Here is a 22,534-nt window from a genome sequence, read left to right on the forward strand (position 1 = left end):
ATAAGGGCACTTCACCTCTGAATATTTTTTCCAAAAACACATAACCGCAACTTAAACATGAGAAAAACAACCAACAAACATAGACAGAGGGAGAGGATACTTGGCTATTACTCCCTAAGACTGTCAAGATTGTGAAAAACAAGGAAAGACTGAGAAACTAGGACAGACCAGAGGAGACTGGGGAGATATGACAACTATATGATACCATAGGTTGAATCCTAGAACAGAACTAGGATATTATTAGGAAAAAACTATGAACTGCAAATAAAGTGTTGAATTTAGTTAATCATAATATATCAATGTCAGTTACTTAATGTTGATGAATGTTCCATAGTAATACAGGATGTTAAGAATGGGTAAACTGAGTGAGAGGTATCAGGAAACACTTTACAATCTAATACTTTTCTATAAATCTGAAATTATTCTTATACATTTAAATAAATAATAGGAAGCATTATGTGAAAATTAATGCAACATATTTTAAACATAAATGATGCTGTAAAGAATGAGTTATTAACATCTTAAATGATAAAACTATGCAGTTTGTTCTTTCCTCTAATTTTATTATTTTTTCCCAAATATCTTATGTGCATTTTAGGAGGTCTACATTGGTTTTATAGTGACTTTATGATTGAAAGTTATTTCCCAGGTCACATTTATTTTTTCAATCTCATAGTCTCACTTCAATCTTCATTCTAAACTTACATTTTATAGGTTAACAACTGTTTTCCAGGAAATGTCACATAAGTTTTTATGTAAAGATTGTATTTTTCTAGTGAGACGATTTAATAATTGTATTTGGTGAAGCTGACATTTTCAAAAGTATGTATCTATCATCTTTGAATTTCTCAAACTTTGTTTCTAACTAGATTTCTCCAGAATAGGTCCATCTGTCTCATGTAGAGTTTCAATACAATTCTATTATATTATATGTCTTTATATTTTCTGTCAGTTAAACTCTTTTATTAACTTCCAAACTGAAAAAAAAGAAGTAACCATATTTTTTCTCATATGACTATCACATCACATTTTCAATGCAGTTCACCAAATTTTGCTCATTTAGAGTTTTGCAGTGCTCTCTTAAATCACTACTGACTAGATAACTCTGCAATTTTTACCTGGTTTTTTAGACTTTTCATGTTTTTTCACTGTACTAGTGAGAAAGATATTACTTTAATGCAGATTATCATTGGTAACAAAAGTTAGGGTTAATAGCAAAATGAAACCAAAACAAAAACCTGATTAAAAACGGGCAGAGAGGCAAAGACACAAAAATTGTCAGCAACAAATATATGAAAAAATGCTTAACATGTCTAATCATCAAGAAAATAGCAAGTCACAACCACAGTGAGATATTACCTCACACTTGTTAGAATGGCTATTATCAAAAAGACATGACGTAAATGTCAGGGGAAATGTGGAGTAAAGAAAACCCTTGCATACTGTTGGCAGGAATATAAATTGGTACACCCATGGTTCTTTAAAAAATTAAAACTAAAACTACCAAGTGATTCAGCAATCCCAGTACTGGAGATATATCCAAAGGAAATGAAATCAGTACATATCTGAAAGAGATATACCCACTCCCATGTTTATCACAGCATTGTTCACAATAGTTAAGATATGGTATAAATCTATGTTCCATCAATGGACAAATGCATGAAGAAAATACCATACACGTACACACAATACATACACATACACACTGGAATATTATTCAGCCTTAAAGAAGGAAACGCCATCATTTGTGATAGTACAGATAAACCTGAAAGACATTAGGCTAAGTGAAATAAGCCAGGCACAGAAAGACATACATTGCAAAATCTCACTTATATGTGGAATTTTAAAAAGTCAAACTCTTAGAAACAGAGAGTAGAATGATAGTTGGCGGGGTCTGGGGGATGAAGGAAATAGGAAGATGTAGGTCAAAGGGTGCAAAGTTTCATTTATGCTGGATGAATAAACTCTGGAAATCCACTGTACAGCATGGTGATGATAGTTCATAATACTGTTCTGTGTACTTGAAATTTGCTAGAAGAGTAGATCTTAAATGTTCTTACCACAAAAAAAGATAACTATTGAGGTAATGGATATGTTAATTAGGTTGAGAGTAGTAATCATTTCACTATATATGTATGTTAAAACATCAAGTTGTCTGTCTTAAATATATATAAATTTTATTCAATTATACCTCAATAAAGTCGGAAAAATAACATATCAACTTTTAAGGCACAGACTATTAATGTAGAAGTTAGTTGGAAATAAGAGATTAAAAAATCAGTAATTTTTCAAGTTAAGCAAACATCTTCAATACAGAAATGAGATATCTATTAGATTCTAAGATTCAGGTCCAGGCCTCCTTTCAGAATATCTTGCTGGTTACTGTTTTGATTGCATAGAGAAAATAAAGCTATGAGCAACTGACTCATGTAATGAAAATATATACAGAAAATGACTTAGACTCCAAAGGGCAAATCTATTATTTAAAATATACAACTATCACATGTAATTGAGTAATGTAATTGACATGATCAATACATTCTATCCTTTATAACAAGACATCACATATTGACATACCATAATCTAAAATATACATAATTCCCACAAGAATCCCAGTAGTTACTAGAGTATTCAGTCATTCTTTTTATTTTTTTAGATGGAGTCTCGCTCTGTCGCCAGGCTGCAGTGCAGTGATGCGATCTCAGCTCACTGCAGCCTCCATCTCCCAAGTTCAAGCGATTCTCCTGCCCCAGCCTCCCAAGTAGCTGGGGTTACAAGCGCGTGCCACCAAGCCCAGCTAATTTTTGTATTTTTAGTAGGGATGGGGTTTCACCATGTTGACCAGGATGGTCTTGATCTCTTGACCTCATGATCCTCCCACCTCAGCCTCCCAAAGATCTGGGATTACAGGCATGAGCCACCGCACCCAGCCAAGTATTCAGTCATTCTTTACCTGTAGTCCCACATGCGTGGGAAACAAAAGCTTAAACAGAAGTTGCTTATTGAGCCTGGAATTATAACTGGGAGAGTCATTGGTATAAAACTAACAGACCTGTATTCATTCACCTCACTATGATAAAGTCTTATGAATTGAACCAATATCTGTATTTCTTCAGAACACAACCTGGTTAAGCATTGCTTCTTCCCTCCTTTCCTCACAAAATTATATTACACAAATATGCCTGTGTATTAGTTTCCTATTGCTTCTATAACAAATTACTACAAAGTTAGTGGTAAAACAATACAAATTTATTATCTTTAGTTCTGGAGGTAAGAAGTATAAAATGAGTAAGCAGTGCTGAATTTCTTCTGGGTGATCTAGGGAAGAATTTATTTATTTTTTTAGATTCTAAAGGACATCTGCATTCCTTGCCTTGTTTCTTCCTCTATCTTCAAAGCCAGCAGCAGAGCCTTTTGAAAGCTTTCTCACTCTTTCATCTCTGTTTCTGTTGTCATGTCCCCTTCTCTGACTTTGATATTCCTCCCTCTATCCTATAAGAACCCCTGTGATTGCTATGATTGCTATCTTTTTTTTTTTTTTTTTTTTTTTTTGAGACTGAGTCTCGCTCTGTCACCCAGGCTGGAGTGCAGCGGTGCGATCTCTGCTCACTGCAAGCTCCACCTTCTGGGTTCACTCCATTCTCCTGCCTCAGCCTCCCGAATAGCTGGGACTATAGGCACCCGCCACCACCACATCGGCTAATTTTTTTGTATTTTTAGTAGAGACGGTGTTTCACCGTGTTAGTCAGGATGAACTCAATCTCTTGACCTCATGGTCCGCCGGCCTTAGCCTCCCAAAGTGCTGGGATTGCAGGCGTGAGCCACTGCGCCTGGCCCCTGTGATCGCTATCTTACAAGGACTTTTGTGATTACCATTGGGCCCACCCAGATAATGCAAGAAAATCTCCCAATTTCAAGATCCTTCATTTAATTATATCTTCAAAGTCTCTTTGCCATGTAAATTAACATATGGACAGGTTCTTGGCATTAGGATCTTGTCATCCCTGGGTGGGGACATTACTCAGTAAACTATGCTTGAATTATTACACATTTATTTAAAATCTTCTTTAATAATATGTTATTATACAAATTTGCTTAAATTCATTCAATATTTTAACCACGTAGCTTGTTTTTCAAATTAAGATGTTTACATGTTTTATGTACGTCTCTGATTATATCCTTATAAAAAGCTACTAGATGGGTAATGCTAAGAAAACAGATCATATCATTTTTTCAGAGGATTGAAGTTGTGATGATTAACATTTATTGTTCATGTTTCTATTTCAAGGCAATTTTAAAAATTATTTCACAAAGCTTCTGTATGGAAAATTGATATTTCAGTTTTTATTGCTTCATGTTTAAATAATTGAAAAGATTATAAGCAATGTAAGTTTTTTCATAATTTGATGAGCTTTTTAAGAAACTGTGTATTCTCTTGTTTATATCTTTTCCTCAGATTTCTATCAAGATGTGTACTTTTAAGAAATAATATAGAAATATACATATATACTGTTAAACAAGACATTATAAGGCAATAATTCACCAATTCTTAATATGTTCCACTTTTGAAATTTATTTTGCATCACTTTAAGCTGCTTTTCCTACATCATTGCCTAAGTGCGTTTTAAATGTCAAGTACTTTGTTGGCAGTGGTGGGTGATGCTGGGCTGGGAGCTGAGGGGTCTTAGATGCTGGCATGGATCACTCACCAATACCTTTAGATAAATAAATAAATAAATAAATAAAGTTTAAGTACTTTATATGTGAACTAGATGAACACTATGTTTCAATTCTTAAACAACCTGATGAACTGTCATTTTATTGTCATTTTATAAAGGAGAAAACTGAAAATTGGATGAGTATACCAATTGCCAAAGATCTCATAATTAATACAGCTGGGTAGTTCTAAGTAAAATCTCCAATGTAAATGCAATGTCATGCTGCTTTGTCTTATATTAGCAAATTTTATGAGAGTCAAAAATACTTTGAATAATAAAGTGCATTTAAAACTATTATAATAACTAATAAGATCTTATATATGTATTTTTTGTTTTTTTTTAAAAGCCTATGTGTTTGCTTCTCATATATAAAAAGCCAATGTCTTACTTTATTAATTTTGTTCTCTAATTTATTATATATGTCTTTTCTGAGACACAACATTTTAAAGTTTGATATTAAAGTGGTAGATTGTGCAAACACATCCATATTCTGTTTATTCAAAGATTATACCTGAATATAGACCAGATGCATAAAAATAATAAGGATGAAGGAAAATAATTAGAATTAGCAATGGTCAAGCAATTGCAAGTAAAATGCTGGGTTACTGGAAACAGTTTTAGTCATATAGAAATGAATACAATTACCATACATTCCAACTATTCCAGTTCTGGTTATGTACCCAAAACAATTGAAAGCAGAGTCTCAATAGCTATTTATATACTCATGTTCATAGCCGCATTATTCACAATAGCCAAAATGTAGAAACAACCCAAGTGTCCTTAAACAGATATATGGATAAACAAACTATGGTATATAAATATATTGGAATATTATCCATTCATAGAAAAAATAAAGTTCTGACACATGCTATAGCATGGATGAACCTTAAAAATATCATGCCTAAATGAAATAAGCCATACACAAATGACAGATATTCTATAATCCCAGTTATAGAAAATATTAGAATAGGTAAACTCATACAGACAGAAGGCAGATTGGAGGTTGCCACGGACTGAATTGGGAAAATGTGGAGTTACTATTTAATGGATACAGTTTCAGTTTTGCAAGAAGAAAAAGTTTTGCAAGATGACAGATGATGGTGATGGTTGCATAGCAATATGAATGTAGTTTATGAATTGAACACTTAAAAATGGTTAAGATGGTTAAATTTGTTATGTGTATTTTACAATGAATTTTTCTAAAAAATGAGTGTAGAAAGACAATCAACTTACTGGAATTACAAAGTTTCTGGGTCAAGCAATTTTTTATGTGCAGTGAGGAGACAGGGTCTCGCTCTGTCACCCAGGCTAGCATACAGTGGTGTAACCATAGCTTACTGTAACTTGAATTCCTGGGCTCAAGCAATCCTCTTACTTCAGAATCCCAAAGTTTTGGGATGACAGGCATGAGCCACCACACTCGGCTCAAGTAGTCTTCAACAGAGAACAGGAATAAGAAGTAGGGTTGCAGCTATGCCTGTCAGCTTCTATTATTTTTCCTTCAGTCTTCACAAAAGAACAGTTGACTAGTACGTAAACCAATTTTAAAAATTAAAGAAAGAGAGCAACTACGAAATAACCATCTGGGGGAAATAACAGCTTCTCAGGTGTTTTTTATGTTTTATGTTTTCAACATTTATGTTTCATGGTAAAGCCCTACTCATTCTCTAACTTGAAAGTGTTGTGGCCTGATAGCAGCTTCAGTCAACTCACTTTAAGTTAAAATGTGCTCTCCAGTAACCAGGTATCCCAGTCAGGTGAGAAATTTCACTCACAGAGGAATACTTGGTAAGCAGACAGGTACAGAGCAGGTAAAGAAACTCATTTAAGCATCTTACTCCTTTGTTAAATATGGATGACTAGAACATGTGAATATTATCATCAGGATAAAAGGAGAATGCCAAGAAAAAAAAGTAAAGCATAAAATGACCCTGAGGGAACAATAGATTGTCAATTAAAATAATTTCCCCAGAATATAGAACTAAAAGGAAGAGAGAAATATCTAAATCTGTGAAGTAAATGTAATCCCAGAAATAGGACAGAGAGGAGAGAAAACTATAGGGAAAGTAAATTTCAGAGTTGAAGAATAGCAATAGTCTTTAGTCTGAAAAAGAACGCTCATATTTAATTAGAATGAACAAATAATTCCACAACTAAACACATGGTAGTCATATTCCAAATAGAGTTCGCGAATAACACTTTTTTACCAAATCCTATCTTCAAAGGAAGGAGCGTCAATTTTGTATCAGATTTAAAAACGAATGGTAGAATACAATGAATCTGTGTTTTCAAATTCTATTGGAATGAAAATATTGAACTCAGAATTCCAAACCCATCAAGTTAATTTCATATCACGTATGATATTTTCATATCACATATCACATATCAATATGTCACCACTTAAGAGATGCAAGGGCTCAGATATTTTGACCATGTCCTCTCAGTTTCTGATAAAATTGTTTGTGGATGTACCCCAGGAAGGGCTTGATATTAAATCAAGAAAGTCATGAAAAGCAAACTGGCAGATAAAAGAATGAATGTAATATAGTAAAGAACAATGAACCCTTACTGTAATGTAATAAAAAAAATAATGCAGATGACATTGGTGTAGCAGGCCATGAGAAAAACTAGTTCACATAGGAATAAGAAGTTAGAAGGCTTTTGGAGGATGCCTTAGGGAGCAAGCCAAAAGTACTTGCCATGACTGAGAAGCCGAGTATGCTGAAGAAACATTTTTTAATTAGAAAAACTCAAAGCCAATTACAAATTAGGAAAAATAAATGTGTAAGAAATACCAAGGTCATTTACCAACACACATGTATATGTATATCTCACAATTACGGTATATATTTTCTTAAATATATGTAATTTAAAATGTACATGTAAAATACAATGTAAATTTATTTTCTTAAATACAATGTAAATTTATTTTCTTAAATACATAACATAATTTTTTATGTTTCCTTGAAGTCACTCTGCTGCTGCTACTAGGTAGTAAAACTGTCAAATCATTGGAATCAGAGAATCAGAGGAAAATAAATGTGATATTATTTTTTTTTTTTTTTTTTTTTTAGATGGAGTCTCACTCTGTCACCCAGGCTGGAGTGTAGTGGTGCGATCTCGGCTCACTGCAACCTCTGCCTTCCAGTTTCAAGTGATTCTCCTGCCTCAGCCTCCTGAGTAGCTGGGATTACAGGCACCTGCCACCACGCCTGGCTAATTTTTTTATTTTTAGCAGAGATGGGGCTTCACCATGTTGGCCAAGCTGGTCTTGAACTCCTGACCTTGTGATCTGCCCACCTCGGTCTCCCAAAGTGCTGGGATTACAGGCATGAGCCACCGCACCTGGCCAAATGTGATATTCTTACTACATTTTTCACTTCCAAAATTACAATAGTAATAATAATGGCATGATATATAGATTCTAAACTTTTTTTCAATAAATGGAAAACCAAGAAGATTTTATCACTTTATAAGTGATGTTAATCTTTACAATGTAAAAGGAATGTATAACTAACAGAAAGTGGAAACAACATAAAATGTGGAAGAGTGGTAGAAAAAAAGGTAAGAATGCTGACACACCGTGAGGCTGCCTGAACTTGTCTGAACAAGAATGCTTACAAGGAATTGATACTAAAACTAATGTCATAATATGTAAAACAGACTCGGAGTGAGGGAAAGGAATAAAGGAGGCATTATGTGTTAATTACCTGTCTTCCACAGCAGGGGACTAGTAAACATTGTCTAAAGTTAATATAGCTAAAGAAAATTGTGCATAGTATTTAGACTTATGAAAGTATTCACCAAAAAAATCTAGAAACAAATGCTATACAAAGTTCTCTTTGAAGTGGACCTGCAAGTATGGAGTAATCAGGTAGAATTTAAAAATAGGATAGATTCTTAATTCAACATACAACAAAATGGAAGATGACTTACAGGCCCCGCTAATTTTCTAAGACTGCCATAACAAAGCCCACATTGAGTGGCTTAAAATAACATAAATTTATTGTCTCATAGTGCTGGAGGCTAAAAGTCTAAAATTAAGATGCTGGTAGGATTTGTTCCTTCTGAGGCTTGCGAGGGAGAATCAGTTCAGTGCTGCTGGTTTTCCAGCAATCTTTGGCATTCCTTGGCTTGGATGCATCACTCAGTGCTCTGCCATCACATGGCATTCTCTCCGTGTCTTTTCGATTAGTCTTCTTCTGCCTATGTCTGCCTCTGTGTCCAAATTCCCCCTCTCTATAAGAATACCAGGCATATTGGATTCGGGTCCATCCCAATGATTTCATTGTAATCTGTAAAGACCTTCTTTGCAAATAAGATCACTTATGAAGTACTAGGGGGTAAGACTTCATATATCTTTTTGGGGGGACATAAAAATTCAATCAATAAAACACGTCGAATTTTAAGTAAAGTATTTAACATAGTGATTTTTCTTATCCAATCTCTTAAATGTCCTTTTTCACTCCTCAGATTTCACTCTTTTTCCTTATCCTATTATATTCAGATTCCCAAAGGGCCATGCTCTCCTTTGTTCTCCAGGAAATTGTAGCTTTACACAGAAAGAAAAAGTTTTTTGGAAGAAGTGCTACCCACTTGTGTTTCCCCTCCCTTCAGTTATTATTGGCTCTCATCAACCATTGAAGACTCTGAGGAAAGTCTGATAAGAAGTTACAGGTAACTTAAATTCTAGTTCTGACCTGAGAACTACAGTTGATTTTTTTCCATGTTTTACTTGAAAGCCAATGTTTTCTCCAGATAAGAATCTAAACCTGTATTTGGAGAAGATGTGCCTTGCTGAGAATGCATTTGATTTTGCCTATTTAAAATAAGTAACTCCTGTTCATTATTCTTACTAAGTATAAATGTTTCTTTGTCATTCAGAATTTGTGGTGTTATGTTCATTTACATACTTGAATATGTAAAATATTTCTTATGTTGAAAAGGAAAAAGAAAATTTAAGTCTGCCATACCATGAAATTTAAAACCAGCATGTTTTTTATGTGCACATGTATAGAAAGCATGAAAAAGGAATACCTTGCAAAAAGAACTACATCAGAAAGGAATCAGTCCAGTCCTGATCTAAAAGACAGAGCATGCCCACAAAGAGGTTTTGGAGTGAGACAGGCAAGGGAAATATGGTCACAATGGTTGAAATCCAAAACATTTCCTCTTACGGTTAATTATGTGGAATATTATGTTAAAATGTGTCTTACTTCTAAGTGTTAAGGAAGAATTTAGTATTAAACTAAGCAAACTTTAAAGTGATATAACTTAATTTCAAGAAAAAGTGGTATATCAGAAAGAAAACATAATTTTTAGTTCACTAAGCGGTTAACAGTGAACATTTACATAGTTACAATGTTGAAAATACAGAATATAAAAATATTCAAATAATATTTGAATGTTTTTTAATTTGGTTAATTTAGCACTTTCAACTTCAGTTTTATTACTGCTCCTTTTCTCAATCATTGAGGACTTCCAGGAGAATCTAATATAAGGCTAGAAGTGGTTCCAAGTCTAGTTTGAATCAGACAGACCTGGAGTTGATCTCTTTCTTAGTTCTCCTTGGAAACTAAAAAATGTATCCATATGTCATGGTCTTTAAAGGAGAGGAAATCAGATGATAAAATCCCAGCTCTCCTGAGTGTGTGATGTAAGATGCTAAATTCAGAAATCTTTGGCAAAAGAAACAGCAAAGAAATGTAGAGTTGGCTGCCACAAAGAAGTAAGTATAGAGGAGGGTAAGGCAAGGTATGATATCTCTATTTAAAAAGGAAAAAGATCAAAGAGTTTAGCATGAGCATAGGTAAAGAGATCCAATATATTATTCAAGGAACTGTAATGTGGCAAAACCTGACTGCGGAACAAGTATGGAGAAATGGCAGGAAATTAAGCTTGATAATTATATCTACAATGTGTTCTTCAAGCCTACTTGGTGTTTGTGCAGTGTACTAAGAATCATGGGGCATTCCTGAAGGATTTTCATTATGGGAAATTGTCAATCACACTTTCACCTTTAAGTGGGATTTTTGTGTGAATATGAATACTGTATATATGAATACCTTTGTTTTCCATGCGACAGCATAAGAGGTAAGTTTTACCAGAATGTTAGGTGAGGTAAAGAAAAATGGGAGCATATGAGATCTATTTAGGATGTTGATGTTTTAAAACTGTTTTATTTTATTGAATATTAATTTTGGAGTTTGAAGGAATGGAAAGCACACTATCGGCCTTGATTTGTAATTTATTTCAGAAATTCAATTGCAGGCAGACAGTAGATATTTGGTTATAAAAGAACTAGAGCCCAGAATATAGGTATATAAGAGCCTTTACTTCTAGCATACAAATGGAAGTTGAAGCTGTAAAATTTGGATGAAATCATCTAGGGCCATTGAAGTACAGAGAACAGAGGATCAAAGAGAGCCCTTGGGAATCCCTGACAGTATGAAGAAAAGTCGGGGCCCCCACAAGGGAGACAGAAAAGGTAAGGCTGTAAAGTTTCCTAGGTGCTCTGTGGTTTGATTGAGGGGATCTGTGAGTCACACCCTTAATCCCTTCAAAGAGCCTTTTGTGTGACTGAACACCTTGATATTTTGATTTTTCTGAGATATTAGTAAAATTTAATATAATGCAATCTTGGCTTTTTCTCTGGAGCATGCATTCCTGTCAGTAAATCTCTTAATTTTAACATGTTTTATAATTTGGATGGGCTGATAATTTCCCAGACATCTAGCTTTATTTCCTTTCTGTTTAACAATACTTTACTTTTTTTTTAAACTATTTAACTATTTTTTCTTTACATTTTACTCTAAACAGAAAGAAGAAACCAGACCACACCTTCAATAGTTTCTTCAGAAATTTTCTTAGCTAAGTATGGAAGTTTATCTTTGATAGTTTCTGCTATCCACATAATACAAGATACAATTCTGCTAAGCTTTCTACCACTGTCAAGCAAGTCTCTCTTCTTCCAATTTCCAATAACATGATTCTCATTTCCTTCTGACCCTCATCAGCAATGTTCTTAAGATTTCAGGCTTTTTCAATGGCCTGTTCATGATGATTTATCCATACTCTAAGGTAATTTAGCCTTTCTCTGTTAAGCTTCTCACCTCTAACACTTTAAGAACAGAGACTTTACAAACCATAATTCTGCTAACTGTTCAAGGCAATCTAGTTTTTCTTTTTCATTATACTCTACAAATTATTCTAAATTTTTGTAATGTCTGACTGCAAAACCATTCACACATTTTTTTGGCAATTGTTACAGCAGCACCTCACTCTTAGTATAAAAATATGTAATCATTTTCTATTACAGTTGTAACAAATTACCACACCCTTGGTGGCATACAAAACACAAACTGAGTATTCTACTGTTCTATAGGTAATAAGTACTGACAGATCTCACCAAGCTAAAGTCAAGATGTCCTCAGGACTGTGTTTCTTTTTGGAAGCTGATATAGTTTGGATCTTGTTTCTTCTAAATCTCATGCTGAATTGTTATCCCCATTGTGGGAAGTGGGTCCTGGTAAGAGGTAATTGGATCATGGGGGTGGATTTCTCATGAATGGTTTAGTGTTATCCTCCTGGTGATTTCCTCATGATAGTGAACGAGTTCTTGAGAGATCTGGCTGTTTAAAAGTATGTGGTATCTTCTTCCTGTCTCTCTTGCTCCTCTTCTTGCCATGTGAGACACCTGCTCCCCTTCCACCCTTCTCAATCATTGTAAGCTTCCTGAGGCCTGCCCAGAAGCCGAGCAGATGCCAGAACCCTGCTCCCTGTAAAGCCTGCCAAACTGTGGGCTGTGACCAAAAACTGTGACCCCAAAAAATACCTCTTTTATTTATAAATTACCCAGCCTCAGGTGTTTCTTTATAGCAATGCAGGAACAGTCTAACACAAAGGTTTTAGAGGAAAATCGTTTCCCTTGTCTTTTCTAGCTCCTGGAGGCAACCCACATTATCTTGCTTGTGGCTCGTTCTTCCATCTTCAAAGCCAGCAACATTTGTCTGTCTCTTCTAAACTCACATCACTCTTTGACCAAGCTGGGAAAGGTACTTCATATTTTAAGGACTCATGTGATTATCTTGGGCTCACCTGGACAATTCAGGATACTGTCCCCACCTCAAAGGTCCTTAACATTAATCACATCTGCAAAGTGTCTTTTGCCATGTAAAGTGTTCTCAGATTCTGGGAATTAGGGTATAGACATCTTTGGGGGGAAGGAGGCATTATTTTGCCTACCAAAAGATACGACAAGTGTGATTTCACAGGGAAGATGTCATAAAAAGAAATACTATGCTATAACCACCATACTAGATTTTGTTATATCACATATTAGACTACAATGTTATAATACATTATGTATGAATTATCTGTTAATTAAAAATTAATTATTGAGCACATGATGTTTTCTCCCCCATCTTAAAGAGAGAAACCACAACATATACAGTTGCCTAGTCATTAAGTATCCCCTTTTCCATATTTTATTCTTTTTTTTTTTTGAGACTGAGTCTTGCTCTGTCACCGAGGCTGGAGTACAGTGGCATGACCTTGGCTTACTGCAATTTCTGCCTTTCGGGTTCAAGTGATTCTCCTGCCTCAGTGTCCTGAGTAGCTAGGACTACAGGCACACACCACCACACCAGCTAATTTTTGTATTTTTAGTAGAGATGCGGTTTCACCATGTTGGCCAGGCTGGTCTCGAACTCCTAACCTCAAGTGATTCACCCACCTCAGCCTCCCAAAGTGCTGGAATTACAGGCGTGAGACACCGCGCCTGGCCACACTTCGAACTGATTTTTGCATCTTTTCTTTTCCATCATGAGCATTACTCTGACTACTTATATCATTCTCTTTGTTATTCACCTACATAAGGCCCTAATCAACTTTCAGCTGTCCTATTATAATGGCTCCAAGAGTGATTCAGTTCCTTTCAATACTATCCCATTGCTATCAGTTCTTTACACTGCAATCATAGTAAATAGTATAATATCTAAATCTAACACTATTGCTGCTTAAAACTTTTCAGAATCTCCCCATTAACTTAATTATTTTTCAGGACTTCTTGCGATGTTGTCCAGGCTGGTCTGGAACTCCTGGACTTAAGTGATCCTCCTGCCTTGGCCTTCAAAACTGCAGAGCTTACAGATATGAGCTACCGTGCTCTGCCCCCATTGACTTCTCAGCATGTTATGGACCGTCCTCCATAATTTGGTTTCTGATAAGTTTATAATTTTCATTCTACCTTCCAATATCTGACCTTGCCCTGTCACATTCTGGTAGATAGCTGTACTGTTCTCTCTCCCTTCTATTGCTTTGCACAAATTACTTTCTTTGTCTAAATTGCTCTCTTATTGATGGTTAATTGCTTTTAGTTTCCTTTTTGCTAAGTACATTCTGGATTCAGGACTTGACTCATGCACTCTCATTATTGCCCTGTCTACACCCCTCCAAACATGTTTGAATATTGTTCAATAGTATCTGTACCCCTTGAGGTCACAGATCATTGTTGTATTTGTCTTGATGGTGTCCAATGCATACTTTCATATTAAGCAAGTATTAGATACTCCATAAATATGTTTAAAGAATGAATGAATGAATATTAAAAAATAATAGAAATAATCTTTTTCAACAAATTTTAACTGTGTTGTATCAACAAAAACTGGATATATTTAAATTTTTAGAAATAACTTTCCTAAGCATTATCATTTTGACCTCAGTTATTACGCTACTGCAGAGGGAGACTGGTCAATGATTGTATTCATTGATAAGACCTTAATACAATTTTTGGAGATTGCATAAAAGCACATCTTGACTTCGTTTTTTATCTATAAAATAGAATACAAAATTCAATTGTATAATCTCAGCCTATGAGGTATTTACATGTGAATTTCAGGCAGACAAAATGCTATGTAATCTGCCTGATCTTCCAAATAAAGGCATGATAGTTTACCCAAACAATGGCATAGGCTTTAAAAGTTAATCTCAAAATAAAAAATGATCTTACTGGGCTCATACCAATTCTGATTACAGAGTATTCCCAGATTATAGGATTGCATGTAATATCTATGTATTAGTGCCTTCAGGCTGCCATAACAAAATACCACAAGTTGGGTGGCTTAAAGAATAAAAATTTGTTTCTCACAGTTCTGGAACGTTGAGAAGTCCAAGATCTAGGTGCCGGCCATTTCAATACTTGGTAAGGGCCCTTTTCCTGTCTTTCAGATGATTGTCTTCTTGCCGCATGCTTAGGTGCCCTGGAGCATGGGGAGAGGCAAGTTTATAAGTCACCTCTTGTTAAAAGGGCAGCAGCCCTATCAATTAAAGCTCCACACTTATGACCTCACTTAACTTTTGTCATATCCTCACAGATTCTATCTCTACACTCAGTCATAGCAACCTATACATTTATTAAAAATGGGAAAACATCAGAAAATTAGGACAATTTTTTTCAGTAATTTCATCTAGATGTGTGAAGTAACTCTTCTAAACTAAAAATAGAGGTTGGTTCATTTTCTATACTATGAGTTATGGGTGTGTGTGGGAGCGAATGGATTGACCCTTGATTGCAAAATAAAAGCCCAATTTCCAGGTATATATATAGATTAGAAAGCAATAGATGGTCAGAAGTGTTGACCCAAGAGGGCAATCAAAGAGCAAGAACAGGATCAAAGAGAAGAATCAGCAAAGCGAAAGAGAAAAAATAGGATTGAGCAGTAGAAATAGGAGCAAGTGCCTAGAAAGATTTTCAGCAGCAACTGGACACAGGCAGTGAGAGGCTTTCGTAAATCTGTCAAGTCAGAAGATTGAGGGGAGAAGGCTAGAACAACACTGTTGGCAGGAATTACCAAGTCTCACTGGTAATGAAAATTTTCTGGGGAATTAAAAAATATCTAGAGTAAATCCTAGATCCAAAAACCATTGTGGAGACTGCAAAGAAGTAATTGACACTAAGAAATAAAAAAAAATACAATTAGTTGTAATAATCAGGCAAATTTCTAGAACTTCTGCCTTTGCCCATTTGCAATTCTATGTTTGATTAAATTATCTTAAATGTATATTAAGAAAAGGTAATTTCATTAACTATTTTTCCCATTATTTCTTTAGGTGGGCATACCTTGATCATCGTTTTATAGATAAAGAAAATAATGTAATATAGTAAAAAATATTGCAAAATTAAAATAATTTACTGCCTTCTTAAAAAAATAAGTATTTGGAGCAGTTATTCTGAATCAATTTCAACAGTTAAAACAAATGGCTCTTAAAATTATTAAATTCAAACAATTTTCTGATTTTGAAAACTTCTATTTAAAATCAATGGAAGTATACAAAATTAAAAGTAAAAATTAATAACGAGCAATGTGAATCTTTCTAAGCTATTCTTATACATATTAAATCGATATTTGCAACATAGTTCCTGATATTAGCTGAAAAACAGTGACGTACCATGATGGGGAATAAGTGATATAAAATAAAAAGTAAGTATATGAGTAATCTATATATATATCTATATGTCTATTTATATATCTATAGATATATAGATATATATAGATAGATATAGATATATAGATATATATAGATAGATATAGATATATAGATATATATAGATAGATATAGATATATAGATATATATAGATAGATATAGATATATCTGATTTCATGCAAAACTAGAAGGATGAACATCAAGTGTTTAATCTTTAATCTATGTATAAAGGGGCTGTATACAATTCCCTCCAGGGTGTGTATGTGTGTATTTACAATCTTCTTTTCTTCCAATTATGGTTTCATTTTGCTCTCGGTTAAGACATGAAGAGAACTATGGGAAAAAAACCACAAAACTTTATGCTTGCAGATCAATGCACAGGAGAAAGGCCTGAGGAATGTTACAGAATTAAAAGAAAATAAATGTGGAAGAAAAGGAGAGAGTAAGGAGAAAACAAAAGGAAAAGGAAAAATTATGAGCAGCTCTTGTAGAAAACGTCTTTTGTTGGAATGCTAAGAAGTGAGCACTTATAGACCTCTTGTGTGTTTTAGGTACAATGTCCTCTTCACTACCTCATTAAGACATCATCCAAAAAGATATACTATTTTTGAAGGGTCGAGGTCATTTATTTTATTCTTTGCATGTGATTCAAAATAGCCCTCTTTTTGTTTTCAGCATTTAAATAAGTTCAGGGACCTTACAACTATTCTGCCTTGGAATCACATTTAACAGCCCTTAGAAACTCTTGAACACGCTATTGGTGCTCTGCTAAGAGAAATCAGGTGCCCTGAATTGATTAGAGATCCTTTTTAGAGGTGCCTTTCAGACACATTAGTTACACATCAAAGACAATGCTTTACCTATTCAAAAAGTGAAGTATCTTTATGAAGCCATTCAAACTCCAAAATTCTTAGTATACAAAAGGCTGTGAGAGTCTTATTGAGAACAATATGCCAGTAACTCTAATTGCCTGAAAAATTAGGTGTCTGATTTGTATTAATTTTGTACCAGGTCAGAATAGTATTTTTTCTATAAAAGATTACAATCTAAGACAGATATCTGAGTGACCTACCATGTAAACAAGCTGAAAAGACATGAACCAGGATAATTTCATGATTAGTAAACACAAAGGAACTATCTTCTTGTTTGATGGAGTGAGCTATTCATCTAGAGAGGGCTGAGCTGTGTAATCAGAAATTGGAGGCTGGTAATGGAGGTCAGAAAGGTTTTCCACCTTGAAGTGAGAACCGGAATGGATTTCCACTTTTGAAGATAGAAAAGTTTTTTAGGAATAGATTTCAGAAGATGAACAGAGACTTAAAAACAGCTGAGGTCATAGAAAAAGAGGATATGTAGAAAATATTCTTCCACAAGTGACACAATATTCTAAGCATGGTAATTATAAATGATAGATTTGACTTATGAGAGAATATTAATAAATATCATATTTACATTAATTTTTTGTTACTATGATTAATATGAAAGAAAAAGTCATTTAATACCAGTTTAATACTAAAACAAATTATTGAAATTCCTAAATAATATAATATTAGCAACTTCTTTAACTCCTGAGGCTTTAAAGTCAACACATTGAAACATTTAATAACTCCAGTGTTTGTATTCTATCATACCTCTGAGAAGCTGACAACTACCTGAAGCCCTCTGCATACTTTGAAATGTCAGACCACTATGCCTGATGGTTCATCATTTTTATTCATTTACTTTTTCCTGCTAAATGCCAGCATTTATCTTGGAACCTTGCTAGGTGAGAAGCAAACTGTCTGTATCTTTAGGGTTCTGTCTGAAATAGCCCCAAACTGGCTAACTCCTCCATGAAACACTGGCTGCCAGTATCTGAAACCCCCTCACTCTTCAATCTCCTGCACCCCAGCAATTTACACCTATGTCAGGGATGTCCTTACTCATTGCAGGGGATGTGGGTCACTTGAAAACTCTCAGCCTCTTTCAAAATAGTCTCTCTGCATTTGGGGTTTTACTATTCAAAGGTAGAAGCCAAAAAAAAAAAAAATCCCTTTACCAGGCTACCCTCCATCTAAGAAGGCAGGTTTAGCCAATCAGGCAGAGTATCCAAGACTCAGACTCAGGAAAAAAACAAAGTGAGGAGCAAGCCACATGCAGGGGCATCAGTCTTCTGGCCATTGCAGCACCAGAACAGAGATGTGTGTTTCTTCAGGGCAGCACTGGAAGAGGTTCTGGTATCTTCTGCCAAACAGTAGCATTTGGTTAGAGCAGTCCCTGAGGCATGGTTGGTTACTGTTTCTGCAGAAACAGCTTCAGGGCCTGATTCTCTTGCCCTTTAGAATGGTAGTTAATATCCCCCAATAAATTACTTTTCTGTATCTAAATAATAAACATGACAGAAAAGTTGCCAAAAATTTTATTTCTCTCTCCCTCTGATATGGTTTGACTCTGTGTCCCCACCCACATCTCATCTCAAATTGTAATCCCCACATGTCAAGGGAGGAAGCTGGTGGGAAGTGATTGGTTCCTGGGGGCCGTTTACCCCATGCTGTTCTCGTGATAGTGAGGGAGTTCTCATGAGGAGCATGAGAAGTGATAGTTTTAAAAGTGTGGCACTCACCCTGTCTAGCTCTCTTTTTCCTGTCGCCTTGTGAAGAAGGTGCCTGCTCCCCCTTTGCCTTCCACCATGATTGTAAGTTTCCCGAGGTCTCCACAGCCACGTGGAAGTGTGAGTCAATTAAATCTCTTTTGTTTGTAAATTACCCAGCTGCATGTAGTAACTTAATAGCAATGTGAAGATGAACTAATACACCCTCATTACATGAATATTATATAGAATTAAACTATTCTTTACATACACACATCCGTGTATATATTTGACACATTTTATTCAAATATAAAAGAATATGTTATCTTTTATTAACACAAAATAATGAAATCATTTATTCTATGGGCTTGTGATTTTTATTTTAAATATGTTTCCCTTTTGTAGGTTTGCACCTCTTAAAAATGACTTAATCCCTAATATAGAGAATTTTATATATATATATATATATATATTTAGTAGGCAAGAGAAATGAGATATTATTGTAACATGACTTTATGAAGTAATTGTTATTGTCTCAAGAGTTAGAGGACAGTGTAAAATAGTGGAAAACTCATTAGATTTGGTACTAAATTAATATAAGAACTTCAGGTTTTTTCACTTACTGGGTACATTATGTAAATAATATCTTCCTAATTGGTAAAATTGTGGAAGCTTTTTCCTTTATTACCTAAATTTCATGGCTATTGTAATGATTCAGTTAAGAATATACATTGGAAATATGCTATGTAAATTGTAAACTGATTCAAAAATCGAGATTATTAATGTAAAAATGTACATTGATTATATTGCTGATACTGTCTTATCAGTTACACTGAAAATATTCTATTTTAAATTTCTTGTTGGGGGTCCCTGGTTTGTCTGTTGTCAAATGGATACTACCGGTTCCTATTATAGATTCTCTCTCTATTACTTAGAAAATGTAGAAGCTACACTTTCCAAAATTGCCTTACTTGCATGACCCTGGCTTAGAAGTCCAGTGAGAGAAAATGTGTACAATTTTGGAAGGTAAAGAAAGAAATTCTGGTTTTTTTCCTAGAGACATATACAGCCTAGGTGTAGGCAGATGTGAAATGAACAGTTGCTTCCTAATGATATCCTGAGAATTAGTCATTTCACTGGTGCAAATTGAAGCAGTTGGTGGTTGCTTTTCAAAGACTCTTCAAAATTGTAGCAAACAGCTTTGCCAGTGATAACACTGGTATGATGTACTGACAAGAGTACAACACTGCTTCTGTGGCATTCTGGCCAACCATGCATTACCTGAGTATAATCATGAGTAAAAATCAGGCAATCATAAATTAACAGACATTCTGCCAATGCTTTTTAAAACTGCCAATGACTCAAAGACAAAGGAAAAAGAATCTGAAGATATGTAATGAGTGGAGGAGATTGAGGAGACATGGCAACACTAATGTGATGTGGAAACTTGGAATAGACTCTGGATTAGAAAATAAAAAGCATTAGTGAGAAACTGGTAAAATTTGAATAAAATCTATAGATTAGTAGTACTGTGTCAGTGTTAATTTCCTTGTTTTAATAATTATACAATGGTTATGCAAAATGTTAACATTAGTAGAAGCTGTGAGAAGGAATTCTGTACTATTGGTATTATTTTTATAACTTTTCTGTAAGTCTAAACTTATTCCAAAATAAAATGATAAAAAAATGCCAGTGACTTTCTGGCTTTTGAAAATTATCTATTTCAGTGTTTTAAACTGAGGACGTCAGTGTTGGATTCTCTCATTTTTCTCCTTCAGGTCTGCCAAGTCTTATAAATTCCTAATTACATATGTAAAACCTTTGTTATTTTTAATATTTAGAGCAGATTGAGTAATACAGTCTGGATATCAAAAATGGTTTCAAGAAAAAAATGATACTATATGAAAGATGGGAATCTAGAATTGTTTCCCTGATCTAATTTGAATACTTGAAGTTATATTAATCTCTTTAAAGATTAAAAGAAAACACAATAATTATTCTATGATTAGAACCCTAGAATAGAGAGAGATTGAGATGATGCTAAAATAGGTGAAAAATGGCAAGTCTCTAATGAAATCAATGTAATCAATCATCTAATCACTAATCTCTAATGTCTTGTAGCATGTGTTTGCTGCTGCTGTAATTTACAAAACTATGATTAAGTATTAATGTTAATTTTAAACCATAATTACTGGAGAATGCAGTGTATAACTGTTTCTGAAAAAGCTTTATTCAAAGTGACACATTAAAATATTGTTCCTCTAGAGATAATTGGCAATGAAACTCATTTAAAATCTCGTTAACCATGTAAATATAATTGTAAAAAGTCCTTGGTAATTCTCTTATTTACGCAAATGTGTATATCAATTTAAGCAGCCAATAAGTATTGGAGCTGTAGCATTCTTACTTTAAGCCAGTAAAATTCCATGCAACATGAAATGAATCCACCAGCATTAATTACACTGTTCATTAAATGAGTTAGAAAACAAATATACATATAGGATCTTGAGAAATTATTATGCATATATCTTCACAATTCCTTGTTCAGGATATCATATGGAACATTTACACCAGACAAATCAGCAAACACAATGTATTAGGGATTTTAAATTTATTTTCTAAGATTTTGGAAAGTCAGTTGATAAACATGTATCAGCATAGGACAAACTGAGGACCATCTTTAGAAACTAGTCATTATAAACACCTTCTATTTTATGCAAGTATTCTTTAAAATAAAAGAAGAGCTTATGAGTTTTCCAGATATAGATTATGTACTAACACACGATTAAAATATTATTTTCGAAAAATTTGATACACTTACTGACGGAAGTTGAAATTGGGATATGTTTATCTGGCATTCAAAAATAGGACATAATAGGCTGGGCACAGTGGCTCTCATCTGTAATCCCAGCACTTTGGAAGGCCGAGGGGCATGGATGATGAGGTCAGGAGTTCAAGACCAGCCTGGCCAAAATAATGAAACCCTGTCTCTACTAAAAATTCAAAAAAATTAGCCAGGCTGGTGGCAGGTACCTGTAATCCCAGCTATTCAGGAGGCTGAGGCAGGAGAATCGCTTGAACCCAGGAGGCAGAGGTTGCAGTGAGCAGAGATGGTGCCATTGCACTCCAGCCCAGGTGACAGTGGGAGACTCTGACAAGAAAAAAAAAAAAAAAGAAGAAGAAGAAAAGAAAATAGGACATCATATATAACTAATAGTTTACCTTGTTACTTGCTGATATTTGGTGCTAAATTTTCATATATATTAAAGGTATTTCACACCTTTCCTAAAATCAGATTTTGTTTAATAATAGCCAAGCTATTTTAATCTGAGGAGTATGTTACTCTTCAGCAGACATAGGAACAATAACCAAAGGGTGACTAAAATTTCAGTTTAGTAAACTTAATACGCAACAACTATTTGAGAAAAAAGAACAAGTATTTTTTGTAACAGAATTTCCAAGTAACAGAAGTGTGTAACCCAAGGCTTTCTCTTTGATTTTCTATATTCCATTTAGATTAAGCTCCTGATTATAATCATACTGATAGATTAAATATTATGGAGACAAATTCCTAATAACAATTTTCTTTTTAATCTATAAGTTTTTGCACTTTTTCCTATTGGAAATCTGGAAAATGGCTTCCAAATATGAATGACTTCCAGATAACATATAATTAAACAATTGCATATAGATAATGTATTATTTTTATAAGCAATATATACTAGTAACATAGAAAGTAGACATTTTAGCATGACTTTACCA

The 22,534-nt window shown here is 34.3% G+C and overlaps 1 long non-coding RNA gene across 1 annotated transcript in view, besides 1 other annotated feature; it reads right to left on the reverse strand.

The window, feature by feature from the left end:
• Positions 1-21,926, reverse strand: part of LOC107985969 (uncharacterized) — a 119,054-nt gene extending 97,128 nt beyond the window's left edge. Inside the window, exons 1-2 of the long non-coding RNA XR_001739832.2 lie at positions 21,806-21,926; positions 14,866-14,977 (exon numbers count right to left, since the gene is read on the reverse strand). This is a non-coding gene — a long non-coding RNA (uncharacterized LOC107985969). The remainder of the gene's footprint in view (positions 1-14,865; positions 14,978-21,805) is intronic.
• Positions 18,676-18,876: a silencer, noted in NCBI's record as "peak3996 fragment used in MPRA reporter construct". NCBI's record gives its function as "represses an SCP1 promoter by STARR-seq MPRAs in K562 erythroleukemia cells {active_cell/tissue: K562}" and the evidence as "EXISTENCE:reporter gene assay evidence [ECO:0000049][PMID:32103011]".
• Positions 21,927-22,534: the final 608 nt, after the last annotated feature.

The sequence above is a fragment of the Homo sapiens genome, chromosome 2, assembly GCF_000001405.40.
Source record: "Homo sapiens chromosome 2, GRCh38.p14 Primary Assembly".
Lineage (NCBI taxonomy): Eukaryota > Metazoa > Chordata > Mammalia > Primates > Hominidae > Homo > Homo sapiens.